Source organism: Homo sapiens, chromosome 2 (assembly GCF_000001405.40).
Source record: "Homo sapiens chromosome 2, GRCh38.p14 Primary Assembly".
In the NCBI taxonomy this organism is placed as follows: Eukaryota; Metazoa; Chordata; class Mammalia; order Primates; family Hominidae; genus Homo; species Homo sapiens.
The window spans coordinates 98,862,431-98,880,089 of NC_000002.12; the positions used below are offsets into that span (position 1 = coordinate 98,862,431).

General features: G+C 45.7%; 1 protein-coding gene across 9 annotated transcripts in view, besides 3 other annotated features; it reads right to left on the minus strand.

Moving 5' to 3' along the window:
• The window catches only part of CRACDL (CRACD like), a 142,380-nt gene that overhangs the window by 68,585 nt on the left and 56,136 nt on the right, over positions 1-17,659 (minus strand). For 2 of the 9 annotated variants that reach the window (XM_005263924.4, XM_005263923.4), the window contains exon 1: positions 6,648-6,943. The exons of 6 other annotated variants lie outside the window; for them this stretch is intronic. In XM_005263924.4, the coding sequence (XP_005263981.1) occupies positions 6,648-6,721 (74 nt within the window). In that variant the 5' untranslated portion in view covers positions 6,722-6,943. Of the gene's footprint in view, positions 1-6,647; positions 6,944-7,390; positions 7,482-17,659 lie in introns of those variants that run through there. One more of the 9 variants, XM_011511095.2, reaches the window with a different exon arrangement.
• Positions 7,080-7,687: an enhancer, noted in NCBI's record as "H3K4me1 hESC enhancer chr2:99485973-99486580 (GRCh37/hg19 assembly coordinates)". NCBI's record gives its function as "activates a minimal SCP1, AML or CMV promoter by ChIP-STARR-seq in naive H9 embryonic stem cells {active_cell/tissue: H9 hESC(naive)}" and the evidence as "EXISTENCE:reporter gene assay evidence [ECO:0000049][PMID:30033119]".
• Positions 12,932-12,981: an enhancer, noted in NCBI's record as "active region_16270". NCBI's record gives its function as "activates an Ori minimal core promoter by ATAC-STARR-seq in GM12878 lymphoblastoid cells {active_cell/tissue: GM12878}" and the evidence as "EXISTENCE:reporter gene assay evidence [ECO:0000049][PMID:35858748]".
• Positions 13,302-13,361: an enhancer, noted in NCBI's record as "active region_16271". NCBI's record gives its function as "activates an Ori minimal core promoter by ATAC-STARR-seq in GM12878 lymphoblastoid cells {active_cell/tissue: GM12878}" and the evidence as "EXISTENCE:reporter gene assay evidence [ECO:0000049][PMID:35858748]".

Genomic DNA, 17,659 nt, shown 5'->3' on the forward strand with positions numbered 1-17,659 from the left:
CCAACAGAAATGATCTCCGAAAGACACCTGATGATGGATCTACTAGACAAAGACTTTAAAACAGCTATCTTAAAAATGTTCACCAAACTAAAGGGAGATGTGGAGAAAATCAAGAAAATGATGTCCAAACAAAATTGAAATATCACTGAAGAGATTTTAAAATCTTGAAACCAAAAAGAAATCTGGGAGGTGAAAAGAACAATAACTGAAATGAAAAATTCACTAGAGGAATTCAAAGGCAGATATGAGCAGGCAGAAGAAGAATCTGCAAACTTGAAGATATAACAATGGAAATTATCAAGTCTAAGGAACAGAAAAAAAGATTTGAAGAAAAGTGAACAGAAAATAGGGGATCTGTGAGACACCATGAAGTGGACCAACATACACATTGTAAGAGTTCCAGAAAGAGAAGAGAGAGAGAAATGGGAGGAAGAATATTTGAGAAAATAATGGCTGCAAACTTTCCAAATTTGATGAAATATACATTATATATTTCTACATTTATATGTTTATACATACATATATCTATATATACATTTTACATTTATACATTTATTCATTTATGTGTTTATACATACACACACATATGTTTATGTGTGTGTATGTATAAAACATCCATTTAGCTCAATGAAATCCAAGTAGGATGAACTTAAGCCCACAACAAGACACATTATAATCAAACTGTTGAAAGCCAAAGACAGAAAATCTTGAAAGCAGCAAGAGAGATGTGACTTGTGACATACAACAGATCTGCAATAAGATTATCAGTAGATTTTTCATCAGAAACTTTGGAAGCCAGAAGGTAGTAGGCTGATATGTTCAAAGTGTGAAAAGAAAAAAATGTCAAGCATGAGTCCTATAACTGGCAAAAGTATCCTTGAAAAGTGAGGGAGAAATTAAGACATTCCCAAATAAATAAAAGCTGAGGGAGTCTGTTACTACTAGAGCTGTTCTGCAAGAAATGCTAAAAAGAGTCCTGCAGGTTGAAATGAAAGGACACTAGATATTAACTTGAAGGCATATAAAGAAATAAAGATCTCAATAAAAGTAAATACACGGGAATTATTAAAGCTACTCTTATTGTAAAAATGGTTTGTAACTCCATTGTTTTGTATTTTACGTGATTTAAGAGACTAGCACTTTTTTAAAAAAAGAGGTACAGGCTTTTAAAACCAACTTATGATGGTTCAATTTATGATTTTTGACTTTACAATGGTGCAAAAGTAATACCCAGTCAATAGAAACCATCCGTCTCTTGCAATGCTGGGCAGTGGCACCAAGTCTCCAGTCAGCTGTGCATTTTCAACTTAATGACATTTTCAATTTATGATGGGTATATCAGGACATAACCCCATCGTAAGTCAAGAAGCACCTGGAATTATTAGTCTCAAAACTAGATTCCACCTATATGAGGTACTCAGAGTAGTCAAAATCGTAGCATCAGAAAGTAAAATGGTGACTGCCAGGGGCTGAGGGAGAAGGGATTAGGAAGTTACTTTTTAATGCGTAGTGTTTCCATTTTGCAAGACCCCAAAAAGAGTTCTGGGGGTGGACAGTGATGATGACTGCACAACAATCTGAACGCACTTAATACCACTTAAAATGATTAAGATGGTAAGTTTTATGTTATGTGCATTTTACCACAACTAAAACGTGCACAAAAAAACCTGTACACCAATGTTCATAGCAGCATTATTTATATAATAATCAAAAAGTAGAAATAACCCAAATATCCATCTCTGGATAGATAGAATAAAAAACATGTTACATATATGTAATGAAATATTATCCATCAAGAAAAAGGAATAAAGTAATGATATATGCTACAATCTGGATGAATCTTGAACACATTAACCTAAGTGAAAGAAGGCAGCTACAAAAGGCCACATACTGCATGATTCCACTTACACGAAATGTCCAGACTAGGCAAATCCACAGAGACACAGAGTAGATTAGTGGTTGCAAAGAGGTGGGGAGAGGGATGCTGGGGAAACACAGGTAGAATGGGAGTGACTGCTAATGGGCACAAGGTTTCTTTCTGGGGAAATGGAAATGTTCTAAAATTAGATTGTGTTCCTTGGTGCACAACTCTTTAACAAAAACCCATTGATTGTACCCTTTTTTTTTTTTTTTTGAGACGGAGTCTCGTTCCATCACCCAGGTTTGAGTGCAGCGGCACGATCTCGGCTCACTGCAACCTCCGCCTCCTAGGTTCAAGCAATTCTCCTGCCCTAGCCTCTGGAGTAGCTGGGACTACAGGCAGCCACCACCATGCCTGGCTAATTTTTGCATTTTTAGTAGAGACGGGGTTTCACCATGCTGGCCAAGCTGGTTTTGAACTCCTGACCTCAGGTGATCCACAGGCCTTGGCCTCCCAAAGTGCTGGGATTACAGGCATGAACCACTGCGCCTGGCCTGATTATACATTTTAAACAGGTGAACTTTATGATATGTAACTAATATGTCATCAAAGCTGCGGAAAAAGGATGAAATAAAGACATTTTCAGAAAAGAAAAGTTGATACAATTTGTTTCCAGCAAACTCACACTGAAACAACTGTTACAGGAAGAGGGATGCAATCTCATGGAGAAGACTGGAGGTGCAGGCAGGAATAGGGGAAAACACAAACGTGGACAGACACAAACGTCAACAAGAGGAGGTGGTGGGCTGGACTCCAACCCAAGCCCTGTGCACACCAGCAGAATGCGTGCCTCAGCCCTGCTCTCCCTCCACCAATAGCACTCCGTTTCCTTCCAGCTTGGAGCCTTTGCAGATGTTGTTCCTTCTGCTTGAACTTGATGTTCCCTGCACATTCCACTTTGGTCTTACTCCTACTCATCCTTCAGATTTCAGCTTTCATTCCACTTCCGCAGGAAGACCAATCTGTCCCTTCAGGATGTGTCAAGACCTCCCGCGACATACTATGGGAGACCCTGTGCCTTTTGTTCACAAAACTTACCCATTTTACATGTATACATGTTTGTGTGATTCTTTGATCCATTTCCCCTTTACAGATTCACGCCTGGTTACATTCCCCATACTTTTAATCAATTTTTCCCTTTCCTGGGGAAAAAGATGAAAATAAATTATGACTTAACTATTGTTCTCTAGTGAGTCATGCCAAGATCTGCCTGTACCTTTTTTTAGAAAAATAAGTTTCACATTACTGAAGCAAATGGAATGTGAAATGCTTGCAGAGTTCCTGTGAGAAATCTCTGTTCAAAAATTGTGCCAGCTTGCTGCTTAATGATATTATTATCCTCAAAAGCAGAGGGACTTGACAGCTGTACCCACACCAAAGAGGCGTCAAGACCGGACCTCACTGCAGCCAACCCTTTCTCCCTGAAGGTGTCAAGAGGACTTTCTGCTTTTTTTTTTTTTTTTTTTGAGACGGAGTTTCGCTCTTGTTGCCCAGCCTAGAGTGCAGTGGCGCAACCTCAGCTCACTACAACCTCTGTCTCCTGGGTTCAAGTGATTCTCCTGCCTCAGCCTCCTGGGCAGCTGGGATTACAGGTGCCCACCACCGACCTCAGGTGATCCACTCACCTCTGCCTCCCACCTCCTGCTCTCTGAAGCTGTCATCCACTTGTGTGCAAAACCTTCTCTGTCCTCTTGTCAGAAAGGATAGCGAGGACAGAGAGACAGATCTGCTCTGACATATAAGAGAAAAGAAAGCAAAGAAATCTCATAATCAAAGGGCTGAAACTAGAGAATATTCAGATGCTAAATGACAGAGCTCTAAGTAAAGCAAGAAGGGCGAGTAAAGGAACTTGGCTGGTCAGATTTGAAGTATCTTATTGCCCTGTAGTTACTGTTTGTCTGATGTTTAAAAACTAAAGTAAGGCGTGGCCTAGAGAAAGCCCCTTTCTTGCTAAGTAGGTAAAACTGGAAGACTAACTCCATGAGGAGAGATAACATGTCACCAGCATAGAACAGCTGCATGGTAGTGCTCAATAAATATTGTTAAATGAATGAATGAATGAATGAGCAAATGATCCAGAGGCACTTAGCAGTAACACCTGATAGATGAAACAATCACTTCTTCTTTTTTTTTTTTTTTTTTTTTTTTTTTTTGAGACAGAGTTTCACTCTTGATGCCCAGGCTGGAGTACAATGGCATGATCTTGGCTCACTGCAACCTCCTCCTCCTGGGTTCAAGTGATTCTCCTGCCTCAGCCTCCTGAGTAGCCGGGATTACAGGCACGCACCACCACGCAGGCTAATTTTTTGTATTTTTTTTTTAATTAGAGACAGGGTTTCACCATGTTGGCCAGGCTGGTCTCGAACTCCTGACCTCAGGTGATCCCCCGCCTCAGCCTCCCAAAGTGCTGGGATTACAGGTGTGAGCCACCGTGACCAGCAGAATCACTTCTTAATGATCACCCAACACATTAATGCCTCAAGGACAGACTTCTTTCAAAATCTATGACTCAGCTAGACAATGTCACATTTCTTTAGCCTGAGTTCTTCTTGCCTAGTGTCTTCCTATAAACATCATCTACCCTATAGCCACACAGAGCTGAAGTCTGCTGGGCTTTGCAGACCCCTCGGTTTGGGAGTAAAGGAATATAGAAGCAGAGGAGGCCCCTGCTTAGAGGCCTGGTTTACTTCCCCAGGCTTCCCCTCAGCCGTGGGCAGGGCAGGGACAGTGAGGGCATCTAGAGAGAATGGCAGGCCACAACTTGCTGGGCTGCTTCTTTGCAAGAAAATACCATAGCTTCATTCCAACACTCAGTCAGCCATGAGATAAACAGCATAGTTTATAAGCATATAAATAGTATCTTATATAAACTACACTATTTTTTAGAAACTACCTACATAACAGTTGATTTAGTGGTATTCAGAGTCCCTATAAATGGACAAATTAACTAACTTAGCTAGGCATGCATACAGCTATCCAACACAGTGTATACTCTATATATGCACACATGAGCCTATGTTCACATGGGCCACCTAAGCCTGCACGAACACCCCTGAATACAATTCATGTCTTAGACTGCAAAGCATGACAGCTTTCATAACAGCGACCTGTTTACACATTCATTGAGGTGAATGTTTTCATATGAGATTTGAAAAACATTAGTTTAGACATTTTCAGGTCATTAGACTAAAAAAAAAACTATCAGAGACTTTTACAAAACCATTATTTCAAAAAGAGCTAAGCATCAGACTTCATAGCCTTATTTTAGAAATTCTATTTGCATAATTCTTGGGAAGATACAATATAAATTCACTCTAACGCTGAGGAGTGTCTTGCAAAGAGGCCATCTAACTTGGCAACGTTCAGTCTCTGAGTGAGAGCTATGACTCGTGCTGACTGCTGCACACATATGTGACGAACAGGACACCGAAGCCCTGGGCACAGTTTTGCAAGGGCTGGCTTATTTTTAACTTCATGAGTTTATTGAGGTAATATACTCCATTTTTCTATGCATATATCCCCAAAATACTGCTTCATTTATCTAGAACCCTACATTTATGACTGACATTTCTGCAGCACAGCAGATGTGGAGCTGAATTTGTTTTTGTTTTTGTTTTGTTTTTTCAGTAGGAAATAATGCTCCGAAGCCTATTACCAAGACATAACATCACCACTCTATCCTGGCCCATATAAAATGGGCAGAATCAGGCACTGAGGTTTCATTCTTAGTAAAAAGAGTTTTATGAAACAGTAACAATGATGATGACTTATATGCACAGGGTTTTACCCAGTACAAGGCCCTGTCTTCACAAGGAATCCTTGAGTTGTTGGGTTACTACTCCTTTGTAACAAACGAAAGTGAGGCTTTGAGGATGGACTGTCTGCCCCAACTCCCAGAGCACCCTCCAAGCCCTGCTGCCAGGCAGTGGGTGGGTCTTTCCAAAGAAGCAACAACAATTTCCCAAGACCGTTCGCCCAGCTCAAGTGATGTGCGGATATAACCATCACCTGTACTGACAGAGACTGCCCTACTGGGAATTTTCCATGTGGGGTATGAGAAACACAAATCTGTTTATTTATGCTAAGCAAATGAATTTTAATCAAGCCATAGCTCTATTTCCCTCTGCACCACGGTGCACAGAGTCAAAATGCACTGAGAGCCAAACACCTTCCAGGGATAAGGTCACCTACAGCAGGACAAGATGTCTCTGTGTAGGGCCCCTGGCTTTGGCTGTGCAGGAGCTCAGGCAGAGCGTCTCCCAAGGCTGTGGCTATCAGTTGAACACAAGTCCTTTGGTGCTGAGCTTTAGGTAGTGGCATAATTACAACATCCTTAAACTTTGACCTCTGCTGCCTTCCCTTCACTCAAAGCATATCAACTATGCCATGGAGATCCCAAGTGTAAACACGGTATGGTAAGAATGGCACACTCTGCTCACCCAGCCCTCCTCCCCTTTCCCTCTCCCTTTCTCTTTATGAATATGCGTGTGTGTCATAAAGGAAACAAAGAAAATCCTTATTTTGCTCCAGAATTTACACAACTCAAGGAGATAAAAAGTCTGTTAAGTAAGGAGGTCACAAACATTCTAGAACATAAGGTAACAGACGCTGCAGATTTATCCATAGGCCTCAGGGGATGGTGGCCACCCACGCCCCGGGAGTCACGGCCTGGCCTCCCCTCCCTCGCGACTCTCCCCCACCACCTCTTTGCTCTCAGAGGGCCCACCTGGGGTCAGGCCTGATGCACTGGTAAAAGGCAGCCATCCTCCTGAGTGTGCTGTGAGCCTCCAGCTCTCTCATCCTCCTGGAAGCTAGCAGCAGGGAGAAGAGTGGGCCTCCCTTTCCTCTGAGTGGCCTAGGGCCCACGGGTCACCACTGGTTGCTGATCAAGAGCCCTTGTCCCCATCTCTCACAGAAGTACCCGTGCGCCAGGAGGAAGTGGGGCTTCTGCCAAGCCCAGCCCTCCTGTGCCCCGTGAGCTCCTTGGGCGGGTGCACAGGCACACAGCAGAAAAGGCCGTCTAAGAAACGCAATGCACTTCCGCCTTCCACTCCAAGCCCTGAAGGCCGGGATGGGGGTGGCCTGGCTCTGTAGGGAGTTGGACTCGCCTCCCTGTGATTGGCATCCCCACTGAGTTGCTTGGGCTTTGTTGACTGTGCTCACCATGGAAGCAGGCAAAGGGCAATGGCAGGTGAGGCTGCATTCCCCATCTGAGGAAGGGCAGGGCCCAGGAAGAAAGAGGAATGCTGAGAAAATCGGAAACAGCTTCTGAGCCAGACACACCCAGGCCCAGGGCTCTCCTCTCTCATTCCAGCACCAAAACCACCCGGCCCCTCCTGCCTCGCCTTGATGTCCACTTGCTATCTCAGTGCGAGGGACCCTGTGGGAGGCACGCTCGTCTCTGCGCTGCACACTTGCTCCCCAGTTTCAGTTTTCTTTTTACTTTTCCTTAAAGGCCCATCGTGTTACCTCAGGTCCTTGATATGCTTTGTTAACTGCTTTCCTGGGGCCTTCCCAATGCTCCTTTACCAGGGACCTGCTTGCCCCACTCATTGTTGCACTGATGGGATTTCCAGCCCTCCCCCTGGAGCCCAAACCTGACAGGTGCAGGGGCCACACCCTCCCAAAAATCACCCACTGAGCCTGCCCAGCCGGCTCCCCAGCCACCCCACGTGACACAGCCACTTGCCCTGGTGGCTCCTATCTGATTACCTGCAGCTGCCACTTCAAAATAATAGACTCCTGCAACTGGCATCACAATGCCACCTGACTCAAGTTCCTCCCAAGTCTGATGGCTTGCCAACTGCAACCGGTACAGTCAGCAGTTTCCAGGCAATATCTGGAGTGTTGACAGAGGGCTCTGGGTGGCAGGTGCGATTCTATGTTAGTAAAACTCAGGAACAGGCAGCAGCAAGGGCAACTTCTGAAGATGGTTCTGAAAAAGCCCTAGTTTGCTTTTCTGTTTTCCAAATGGCAACTGTATATAGAATTCTACTCAAATGGCCTACAATTTAATTTTAAAGCACAACGAATACATTTGATGATGACAGAAGAAAGCAGTGAGTTCAGAGGAGAGCTCAGATGATAATCACGCAGTGCGCTGAAGGTAGTTTATATACATTTGCCCTTTGTGCAGCCCACTGTGCTCCTGCCAACGACTTGGCCTTCTCCCAGGGAGAGGGCCAATTAGCTGGTGGAGAGTCCCCTGTATCCTGGGAGGTGGTGCAGGGGCCCCTGCAGCAGAATGGATTATTGAAGGGACAGGGACTGGGCCCCAGGGCTGAGGTCTCTAAGGACTGTCCCAGCCAGCAGCACTCTGCCCAGCAACACGAGCTGGCCAAATCCCACAAGGCCCACAGTGGCAATTCCACCCCATTCGGTGGGCCGGGTTGAGCATGCAGCTTGCCTCTGCTGCTTGCTTTCGCCTGCTCTGGGCATGTGACCTGCCCTCTGTCAGTAGTAGGGCCCCCTCAGGAGCCTCTTCAGCACTCTGTCCCCGTGGAAGCCCAGCATACAGGTCATGCCCAGCACAGAGTGGCCCAATGCCCGAACAAGACATCACTCCACACTGAGACAAAGTCCCCGAAGGGAGGCGCTGTCACATCGTGTGAATGCCCAGGGACCGCGAGATTCGCGAAGAGCAGGGGTAGCAAGACACCTGCAGGCCTTGACACCTCTCACTGCCCCTCCACCGCCTCCCAGCATGCTCTCCACAGCACGGTGCACACATGTTACCTCTCTGCTCAAATTTCAGGAGCAGAAAATTTCAGTTTTCTTTCTTTGCCCTTCTTTGCTGTGCCCAAGCCATACGTTCCCTGAGACATCAGAGAACCAAACGAAAAGGTCAGTGACACCCATGTGCATCTATTAGAATAGAATTTATAAACTGCAACAGAAAATATCTTATGCAAGGACATCTAAGGACTTTGTGATAGGACCTCCTTAGGCCCTGGGCTCATTTTCATTCAGAGGGAAGGAAATGAACATTTATTAAGCACATCTCAGGCCTCATTTAAGGCTCACAACCAGCTATGAGTTAAATGGTCCATTGCTTTTTTTGCAGGTGAGGAAATAGAGGGCCTGAGCAGCTAAGCAACCAGTCCGAGATGACTGAGGCAGTCAGTGGAATGTCCGACCCTGAAATCAAGGCCTGTGCCTCCGCAAGTGTGAGCTCTTCCCCATGATGGCAGCTGCCTCCCAAGAAACCCTGGCAAGGGTCTGAGTGACCAAGCAAGCTACATCCTTTCTGGGCTGGAATCTGGCAGCATGTATCAAAACCTGCTGCTCTAGTAATTTCACTTCTGGGGAATTTGTCCTAAGGAGATAACCCAGCATTCTTATAACAGTGTCCTGGAAACATCCTGAAGGCTCACCAGTAGGAGACATAGGCAGACCAGACACAGCAGCAGGACACAGTCATATGAGGGATGTTATCCAGTCACTAGAAATCATGATACAGGAAAATATTCAGTGACGTGGGACAATACCCACCATACATTGCAATGGGGGGAAAATCAGCTATGACAGACTGCTAAGAGTATGCAATAGCAAAGTCAGGGAATCAACCTGAGTGTCCATCAACAAATGACTGGATAAAGAAAATGTGGTGCATGTACACCACGGAATATTACACCGCCATAAAAAAGAATGAAATCATGTCCTTTCCAGCAACACAGATGGAGCTGGGGGCATTATCCTAAGTGAAACAACTCAGAATCAGAAAATCCAATACCAGGCTGGACGTGGTGGCTCATGCCTGTAATCCCAGCACTTTGGGAGGCCGAGGTGGGTGGATTACTTGAGATCAGGAGTTCAAGACCAGCCTGGCCAACACCGTCTCCACTAAAAATACAAAAATTAGCCGGGCGTGGTGGCACATGCCTGTAATCCCAGCTACTAGGGAGGCTGAGGCAAGAGAATTGCTTGAACCCTGGAGGAGGAGGTTGCAGTGAGCTGAGATCGCACCACTGCACTCCAGTCTGGGTGACAGAGTGAGACTCTGTCTCAAAAGAAAAGAAAAGACCACATGTTCTCACTTATAAGTGGGAGCTAAACAAGGAGTACACATGGAGATAAAGATGGAAACAATAGACAATGGGGACTTCAAAAGGGGGAGGGTGGAAAATTATTTATTGGGTACAATGTGGACTATTTGGGTGATGGGAACACTAGAAGCCCAAACCTCGCCATTATATTATAAAATATATCCATGCAAAAAACCTGCACTTGTACCCCCAGAGTAAAAAAATTAAAACTAAATAAAATAAAAGTGAGAATGTATCCCCGTCATTTGAAGAGCTTGCTCATCAGGATTTTGCTTCAGTAAGCCTGGGCTGCAGCCCGAGATGCTTGCATTTCTAACAAGCTCCCAGGTGATGCTGACGATGCTGCCCGTGGACCTTCCTTTGATGAGTATGACGTGTACAAAATGATGTATGCAGTAAGAACCCGTTTTTATTTTCGTAAAGCTCTTAGTGCACAGAATAAATAAAGGAAGGATCACAAAATGATGTGAACTGACGTTATCTGTGGGTCATGGAATGATGTTCATTTTAAACTGTCTCGTGCTTTTTCACGCTTCCTAAGTTTTCTGACTTCGCATGCATTTTGTTCATAATTAGAAGAAGCTCCAATAGTTTCTTTTAAAGACAAGGCAGTGTGATGTAAATAGACTGGGATTTGGGGCCGAGGATTTGGAGTTAAGTTACTTCCCTCTCTGAGGCTCAGTTTCCTAACTTGGAAACCTCATACCTCAGCGGTTGTGAGAATTGAAGCAGATCCTACGTGTAAGTTTCTATGCAGTGCCTAGCACACAGAAGGAACCCTCGATGTCAGGACCTACCTTCTCCACTGCTGGGAACAAGATCTCATGTCTATGAGGGGCAATTTCTGTCTTTTTCACAAAGTACTTTTGCACCGGCTCCCTTGTTTGTCTCCACATCATCTCTGTGACAGAGGCAGGAAGAGAAGCTATCGCTGTAGAACTTGAGAGCAACCAAGCTGCCCAAGGCCACAAGGCAAGTCAGCACGGGTGCCTAGAACCTCTGTCCCCAGAACACAGCTTCCCTTCTGGGCTCCACTACCTCTAATGTAGCAATGCACAACCCACACACAGGGACCACAGTGGCTGAGCTCTGACCCCAGGGTGGGAACAGATCCACTGCTGAACTGGCCTGGGACAGGGATACAGAACTGGAGTCCCTCTGGGCCTGCCAGGAAATAGGCGAGAGGATCCCCCACATGATGTGCCACTTAGCCCACCGCCCCTCTAAGAGGAACCCTCACCCACTCATGGGGATTTACAAACATTACAACGTGCTTTTCCTCACGGAATATTTTGAACATCTAGTCTGTTGAAATAACTCCACAATTGGCTGGGCGTGGTGGCTCATGCCTGGAATCCCAGCACTTTGGGAAGCCAAGGGAGGCAGATCACCTGAGGTCAGGAATTCCAGACCAGCCTGGCCAACATGGAGAAACCCCATCTCTACTAAAAATACAAAAATTAGTTGGGCGTGGTGGCACATGCCTGTAATCCCAGCTACTCAGGTGGCTGAGGTACAACAATTGCTTGAACCCAGGAGGCAGAGGTTGCAGTGAGCTGAGATTGTGCCACTGCACTCCAGCCTGGGTGACTGAGTGAGACTCTGTCTCAAAAATAAAAAAAAGAAATAATTCCGCAAGACAAGTTTGCTACTGGTAAGTTCTTTTCAGCTGCAAAGGCAGTCAACCAATTATAGCCCCAAAGCCCAATTGAGCACTTAAATTACTTAGATCTATTGTTAACAATGATCAGAAACGAGTTAGGTAACTTCAGAATCTTCCCTTTGCTGTGTGTTGTTCAGGGTGAACTTTTATAAGTGGTACCTGCCACAGATACGTTCTTTTCTCGCTTAATACCCCAAAGTGATGCTATATAGAACCCAACAGCCATCATAGATTACATTGATCCCTGATCAAAATCGAAACAGGAAACCGCAGCTGCAGCTCATGTTGCCCCCCTGATGGTTTCTCACAGTTCCTTCCAGGTGGACATGGCTCTGTGGGAACACCAGAGTGAAACCTGAGGGCTATGCCCTAGCCGGGAGTCAGGAGGCTCCGCACGGGCTGCTGGGCAGAATCATTGCACCTTGCGCCTCGTGGGGCCAGTCTCCCTCCGCATGCCTGGATGCACCCCTCCCAGTGTCCAGGAGGCAAAGAATAGTCATTGGAGAACTTGTTCTTAAAGATGGGACCTGTGTGGTGACCTCCTCCACGGCCTCCAAAAATCCACACTGTGGAACAACAAGGGACTGCAGAATCTCTGGAAGGTTTTTGGGCAAGGAATGGTGACAGAACCAGTGGTTCCTTCTGTTCTGGTCTTGGGCCAGCCCAGTATTGTCATCATCTGTCACCCCACCACCCCACCATTAGAGGTAGCCCAAGGCACAGGGGACAAATGCTGGTGTTTCTACAAAGAAAGTCCCATCCTCGTTACTGATCACTTCATGCTGTTTCCAAGGGTGTCACAAACACAGACCCTCGGCTCATGAAGGCAACCTAGGCTCACCCCGATTCTGTTCCTCTGGCCATCTCCAAGGAAAGCAAGATGTCCTCCCCAAAACAACCCCACTGTAGCAATGCCCCCGACAAGGCCTGCTACACAATTTGTTCTTCACTTCCCTCCCACCTGGAGCCCATGTACTGCGTGCAGAACAAACACAGTCTGCATAATAAGCATCTTATGAGATCAAACCACATTCGCAGGAATGCCTTGCAAACATCACCTCCCAAAGTGCCGTCACTCTGTACAACCGCCTAAGTTAAGCACCTCACTGTCAGGGGCAGGCACGGCCCCCCGCCCATGTACACCACGAGTCACAGAAGAGAGTGTGGTCGGGCCCTTCACTCAGCACATGAAGACGCAGCTCAGAGAAAGATTTGGCTGCTGGCTCAGGTTTTCACAGTCACCTAGTGGGAAAGGCACAACCAGATGCCTGGCCTCCTAACTGCCACTTCCCTGTGCTTCTTCACACAAGACAGGCCACCGCTAGTCAGCTCAGCAAATTAGCAACTCCCAGCTGTGTCATCTCAGACACTGTGCTCCTCACCGACATCTGTCACATCTGTCAGTCGCTCTGTATGGGTGTGATGAGACAGGCCACTGCAATCTCTGACAGAGGGAAGAAGGAAAGTCCCAGTTGACAGACAGCAAGAGAGAACAGAGCAAGCCTGGGACAGTGGGCTGTCACCCGACATTCTATCAGCTGGTGGTCTGGGCAGAAGAACCGCACTCAGGATCCTTGTGGCCTGACACGTAAGACATGCAGACATAAATGATTCAACACAGGGGCATCATGAATTACTGGGAAATAACCCATTACAAGAGACTAAGAAAATAGGCTTCAGCACGAAGGACAGAAATACATGTTCCATACAGAGCTAGTATCTGCATTTATTAAACAAAAATAAACATGATAGGAACCTGTCAGCTAATGAGATTACACATTTGCCCCTGGTAGGCTGGCACTTTGGAACTCTGATGACATAGAGGCCACAGATGCCAACGATTTGCCCCGGTGGGGCTGCAGAACATTGTCTGTAGGCACATCACATGGCCTGCCGGCCTGCTTGCTTTCCTCTTGGTCAGCTCTCAGGTTTTCCATCAGTCAGCCGGACCCCAGGTTAAGCCACAAGCTTGCAAACTGGTTTCTTACACTTGAGAGCAAAAGCCAGTGTGCTCCAGTGATCTCCCTGACCTGGGAGAACATTCAGGTTTAGAGTTGGAGATGTAGATATGAGGAAATTATACAATTATTGAGAACAAATAGTATGTCTGAATTTGTTTGCCTTTATTTTCTTAAATCGAGAGTAAAAATATAGGTAATATTTAGATTCCTTTACAGATCTAAAATCACCTTGAAAGTTTAGTAACTGAAAAGGTATTAATTTAGTTTTTATTTTAAGTTAAAAAGAGTTTAGACAAGCAGCATGAATGCTCTAGAGTGGGGGTCCCCAACCCCTTGGGCCGTGGACTGGTACCAGACCGTGGCCTGTTAGGAAGCAGGCCACACGGCAGGAGGTAAGTAGCGGGCGAGCAAACATTACCCTCTGAACTCCACCTCCTGTCAGGTCAGCAGCGGCATTAGATTCTCATAGGAGTGCGAGCCCTATTGTGAACTGCGCCATGTGAGGGATCTGGGTTGCACACTCCTTATGAGAATCTGGCTAATCCCTGATGGTGTGAGGTGGAACAACTTTATTCCAAAGCCATCCCCCTGCCCTTCCCTGGTCCATGGAATAATTGTCTTCCATGAAACTGATCTCTGGTGCCAAAAAGATTGGGGACTGCTGCTCTAGAGAGTTTAAATCCACTATTAAATTATTTTCACATTTTCTCATTGTGTACAAGTTGTTGAAATCTCAGGAAGTTTCCCTACTGAACAAGGCTTTTGCCCTAAGACTGTGAGCCTGTGAAGGACCAGGCTAGGTGAAATTCAGCTTTGTCTTCCCAGCACCGACAGCATGTGTTAGGCCCCAGTAAATGGTCACAGACTTAAATAAATGCATTGTAAGTCTACTGTCTAATGGGATTAGTAACCACAGCTTCCACTTTTAGAGATACATTCTTTTCATCACCACAAGGAAAGATAAAGCAAAAATGCAACACCGGCACATCCATTGCCACGCTCCCATTACCTGCCCTTGGCAGAAATCAGTAATCAATCACAGTGTCATTCTCAGGTTGCTCACAGCACAGTGTATACTCCAGGCAGCTGTTGCCAGTGGCTCAGGGCAGCACTTGGCTAGACGCTTGCTGCCTCTATTGGTAGAAATAGCAATAAGTCTGTAGAACTGGGTTCTACCCTCGACTTTACCACTAACAAGCTCCTAAGCAGCTGAGTGACTTGTGATCAGTCATTTCCCTCTCTGGGCCTCAACTGTGATCCAAGTGGTTTGGGCTCCGATATCTAACATTCTATTATGGTCATGCACCACGTAACGGTGTTTCAGTCAATGATGAAAAGCATACATGACAGTGATCCTAGAAGATTATAACGGAGCTGGGAAATTCCTATCACCTAGTGATGTTAGAGACATTGTAACATCATAGTGCAATTAGTTTTAAAAATAAATTTAGTTGGTGGCTCATGCCTGTAATCCCAGCACTTTGGGAGGCCGAGGCAGGCGGATTACCTGAGGTCAGGAGTTTGAGACCAGCCTGACCAATATGGTGAAAACCCCGTTACTACTAAAAATACAAAAAAATTAGCCGGGTATGGTGGCGGGTGCCTATAGTCCCAGCAACTCGGGAGGCTGAGACAGGAGAATTGCTTGAACCTGGGAGGAGGAGGTTGCAGTGAGCTGAGGTCGCGCCACTGCACTCCAGCCTGGGAAACACAGTGGGACTCTGTCTCAAAAATAATAAAAAAATTTAAAATAAATAAATTTAGTATATCCTCGGTTCATAGTGTTTATAAAGTCTACAGTAGTGTACAGTCATATCCTAGGCTTTCATATTCACTCACTACTCACTCACTCAGTCACCCAGAGCAACTCCTCCAGTCCTGCAAGCTCCATTCATAGTAAGGAACTATAATGTTGTACCATTTTTAATCTTTTTTTTTTTTTTTGAGATGGAGTTTCACTCTTTTGCCCAGGCTGGAGTGAAGTGGCACGATCTTGGCTCACTGCAACCTCTGCCCCCCAGGTTCAAGCGATTCTCCTGCCTCAGCCTCCGAAGTAGCTGGGAGTACAGGCGTGCGCCACCATACCCAGCTAATATTTGTATTTTTAGTAGAGATGGGGTTTCACCATGTTGGCCAGGATGGTCTCAAACTCCTGACCTTGGGTGATCCACCTGCCTTGGCCTTCCAAAGTGCTAGGATTACAGGCATGAGCCACCGCACCCGGCCCATTTTTAATCTTTTATACCATCTTTTTACTGTCCCTTTTCTATGTTTAGATATGTTCAGATACTGTCCCTTTTTACTATCCCTTTTCTATGTTTAGACATGTTCAGATACACACAAACTTACCATTGTATTACAATTGCCTACAGTGTTCAGTATAGTAACATGCTGTTCAGGTTTGTCGTCTAGAAGAAACAGGCCACATGTAGCCTCACTGCATAGTAGGCTATACCATCTAGGTTTGCGTAAGCATATTACATGATGTTCACACGATGAAATCACCTAAGGATGCATTTCTCAGAACATGTTCCTGCTATTAAGTGATCCATGACTGTATTTTACTTTTGAAAAATAAAAGTCTGTAAAATTGGCACAAACTCAGTTTTACGTGAAGATGTTTTAGTTAACCAACATATGAAACAGGTACAGGAGCTGAGACCAACAGGTACAGATGCTCCTCGACGTACTATGGGGTTATGTCCGGATAAACCCATCGTAAGCTAAAAATATTGTAGTGGCAAACGCATGGCTGACTGAGAGGCGCCCAGCATCACGAGAGAAGTACAGTTTCCATTGAATGCGTATGGCTTTCATACCATCGTGAAGTTGAAAAATCCTAAATTGAACCACTGTACGGTAGGGACCATCTGTATTGAAGATATATTTTCAAAATCTGGTTCTCAATATACAGCTTGTGTGTGATCCAGAAAAATGAATGCTATGACCACAGAAAGTCCCTCTGGCCTGGCCCAGTGCACCTCACCTCCAGCCATTACCACCACCCTGGCCCTGAGAAATCTTCCCGCTGCCCTGGCAACCTGCTCCCTTCCTCCGAGCCCCTGCCCACTCACACCTGGTTTCACACATCTCCCTCCTGGACTCTGAGCTCCCTGAGGGCAGAAACCAGTTCTTTTCATCTTGGTAGCCCTAATACATATGCACAGTGAGGCTTGATAAATGTTTTATGAATGAGTGAGCCTCACCACCTATGCTTAGAAAACCTAAGGAAAGAATGCCTCAGATACCAAACCTGCACTCGCTTTTATTAAGGTCTTTCACTGTGTTCATTTCTTCTGAATCTCTAAGAAAAACAAATGTCAAATAGTTGATTTTCTTTGAACTGTTTCATAGGATTCTCTGTGTGATGTGGATGTGGGGTTGGCCTGGTTCGACATCAATATCTTCCTAGTTTGTAATTCTGAGACATGCATTTAGAGAGTGAGGACACAGAACAATATGGAAATGCATTTGGCTCATTATATGAGACACCTAACATTCCAAATCATTCTAGCCTCTGTATTTTATTTATTATTATGTTTCTCAGAGATGGCGTCTCACTCTGTTGCCTAGGCTGGAGTGCAGTGGCGCAATCTCGGCTCACTGCAACCTTTCCCTCCTGGGTTCAAGCAATTCTCCTGCCTCAGCCTCCCGAGTAGCTGTCCCAGGTGCACACTGCCGTGCCCAGCTAATATTTTACATTTTAGTAAACACAGGGTTTCGCCGTGTTGCTCAGGCTGGTCTCGAACTCCTGAGCCCAGGCAATCCGCCCGCCCTGGCCTCCCAAAGTGCTAGGACTACAGGCGTGAGCCACTGTGCGCAGCCTCAGCCTCTGTATTTCAAAGATCTTTAAAAAAGCAGCGAAGCCTCAATTTTCTTCAATATTTCCATGGGGGTGGACACAGTATACAGGTGGCCCACACCATTTAGCACATAATGACTTCTGCGTTGCCTCATGGGTCATAACTGGCCTCCTCAGTTAGACTGTAAAGTGCGTGTGCACGGTACCAATAAACTTGATAAGTTCTGCATATCCCACAGTGCTGAGTACTTGGTAGGTGTTAAATAA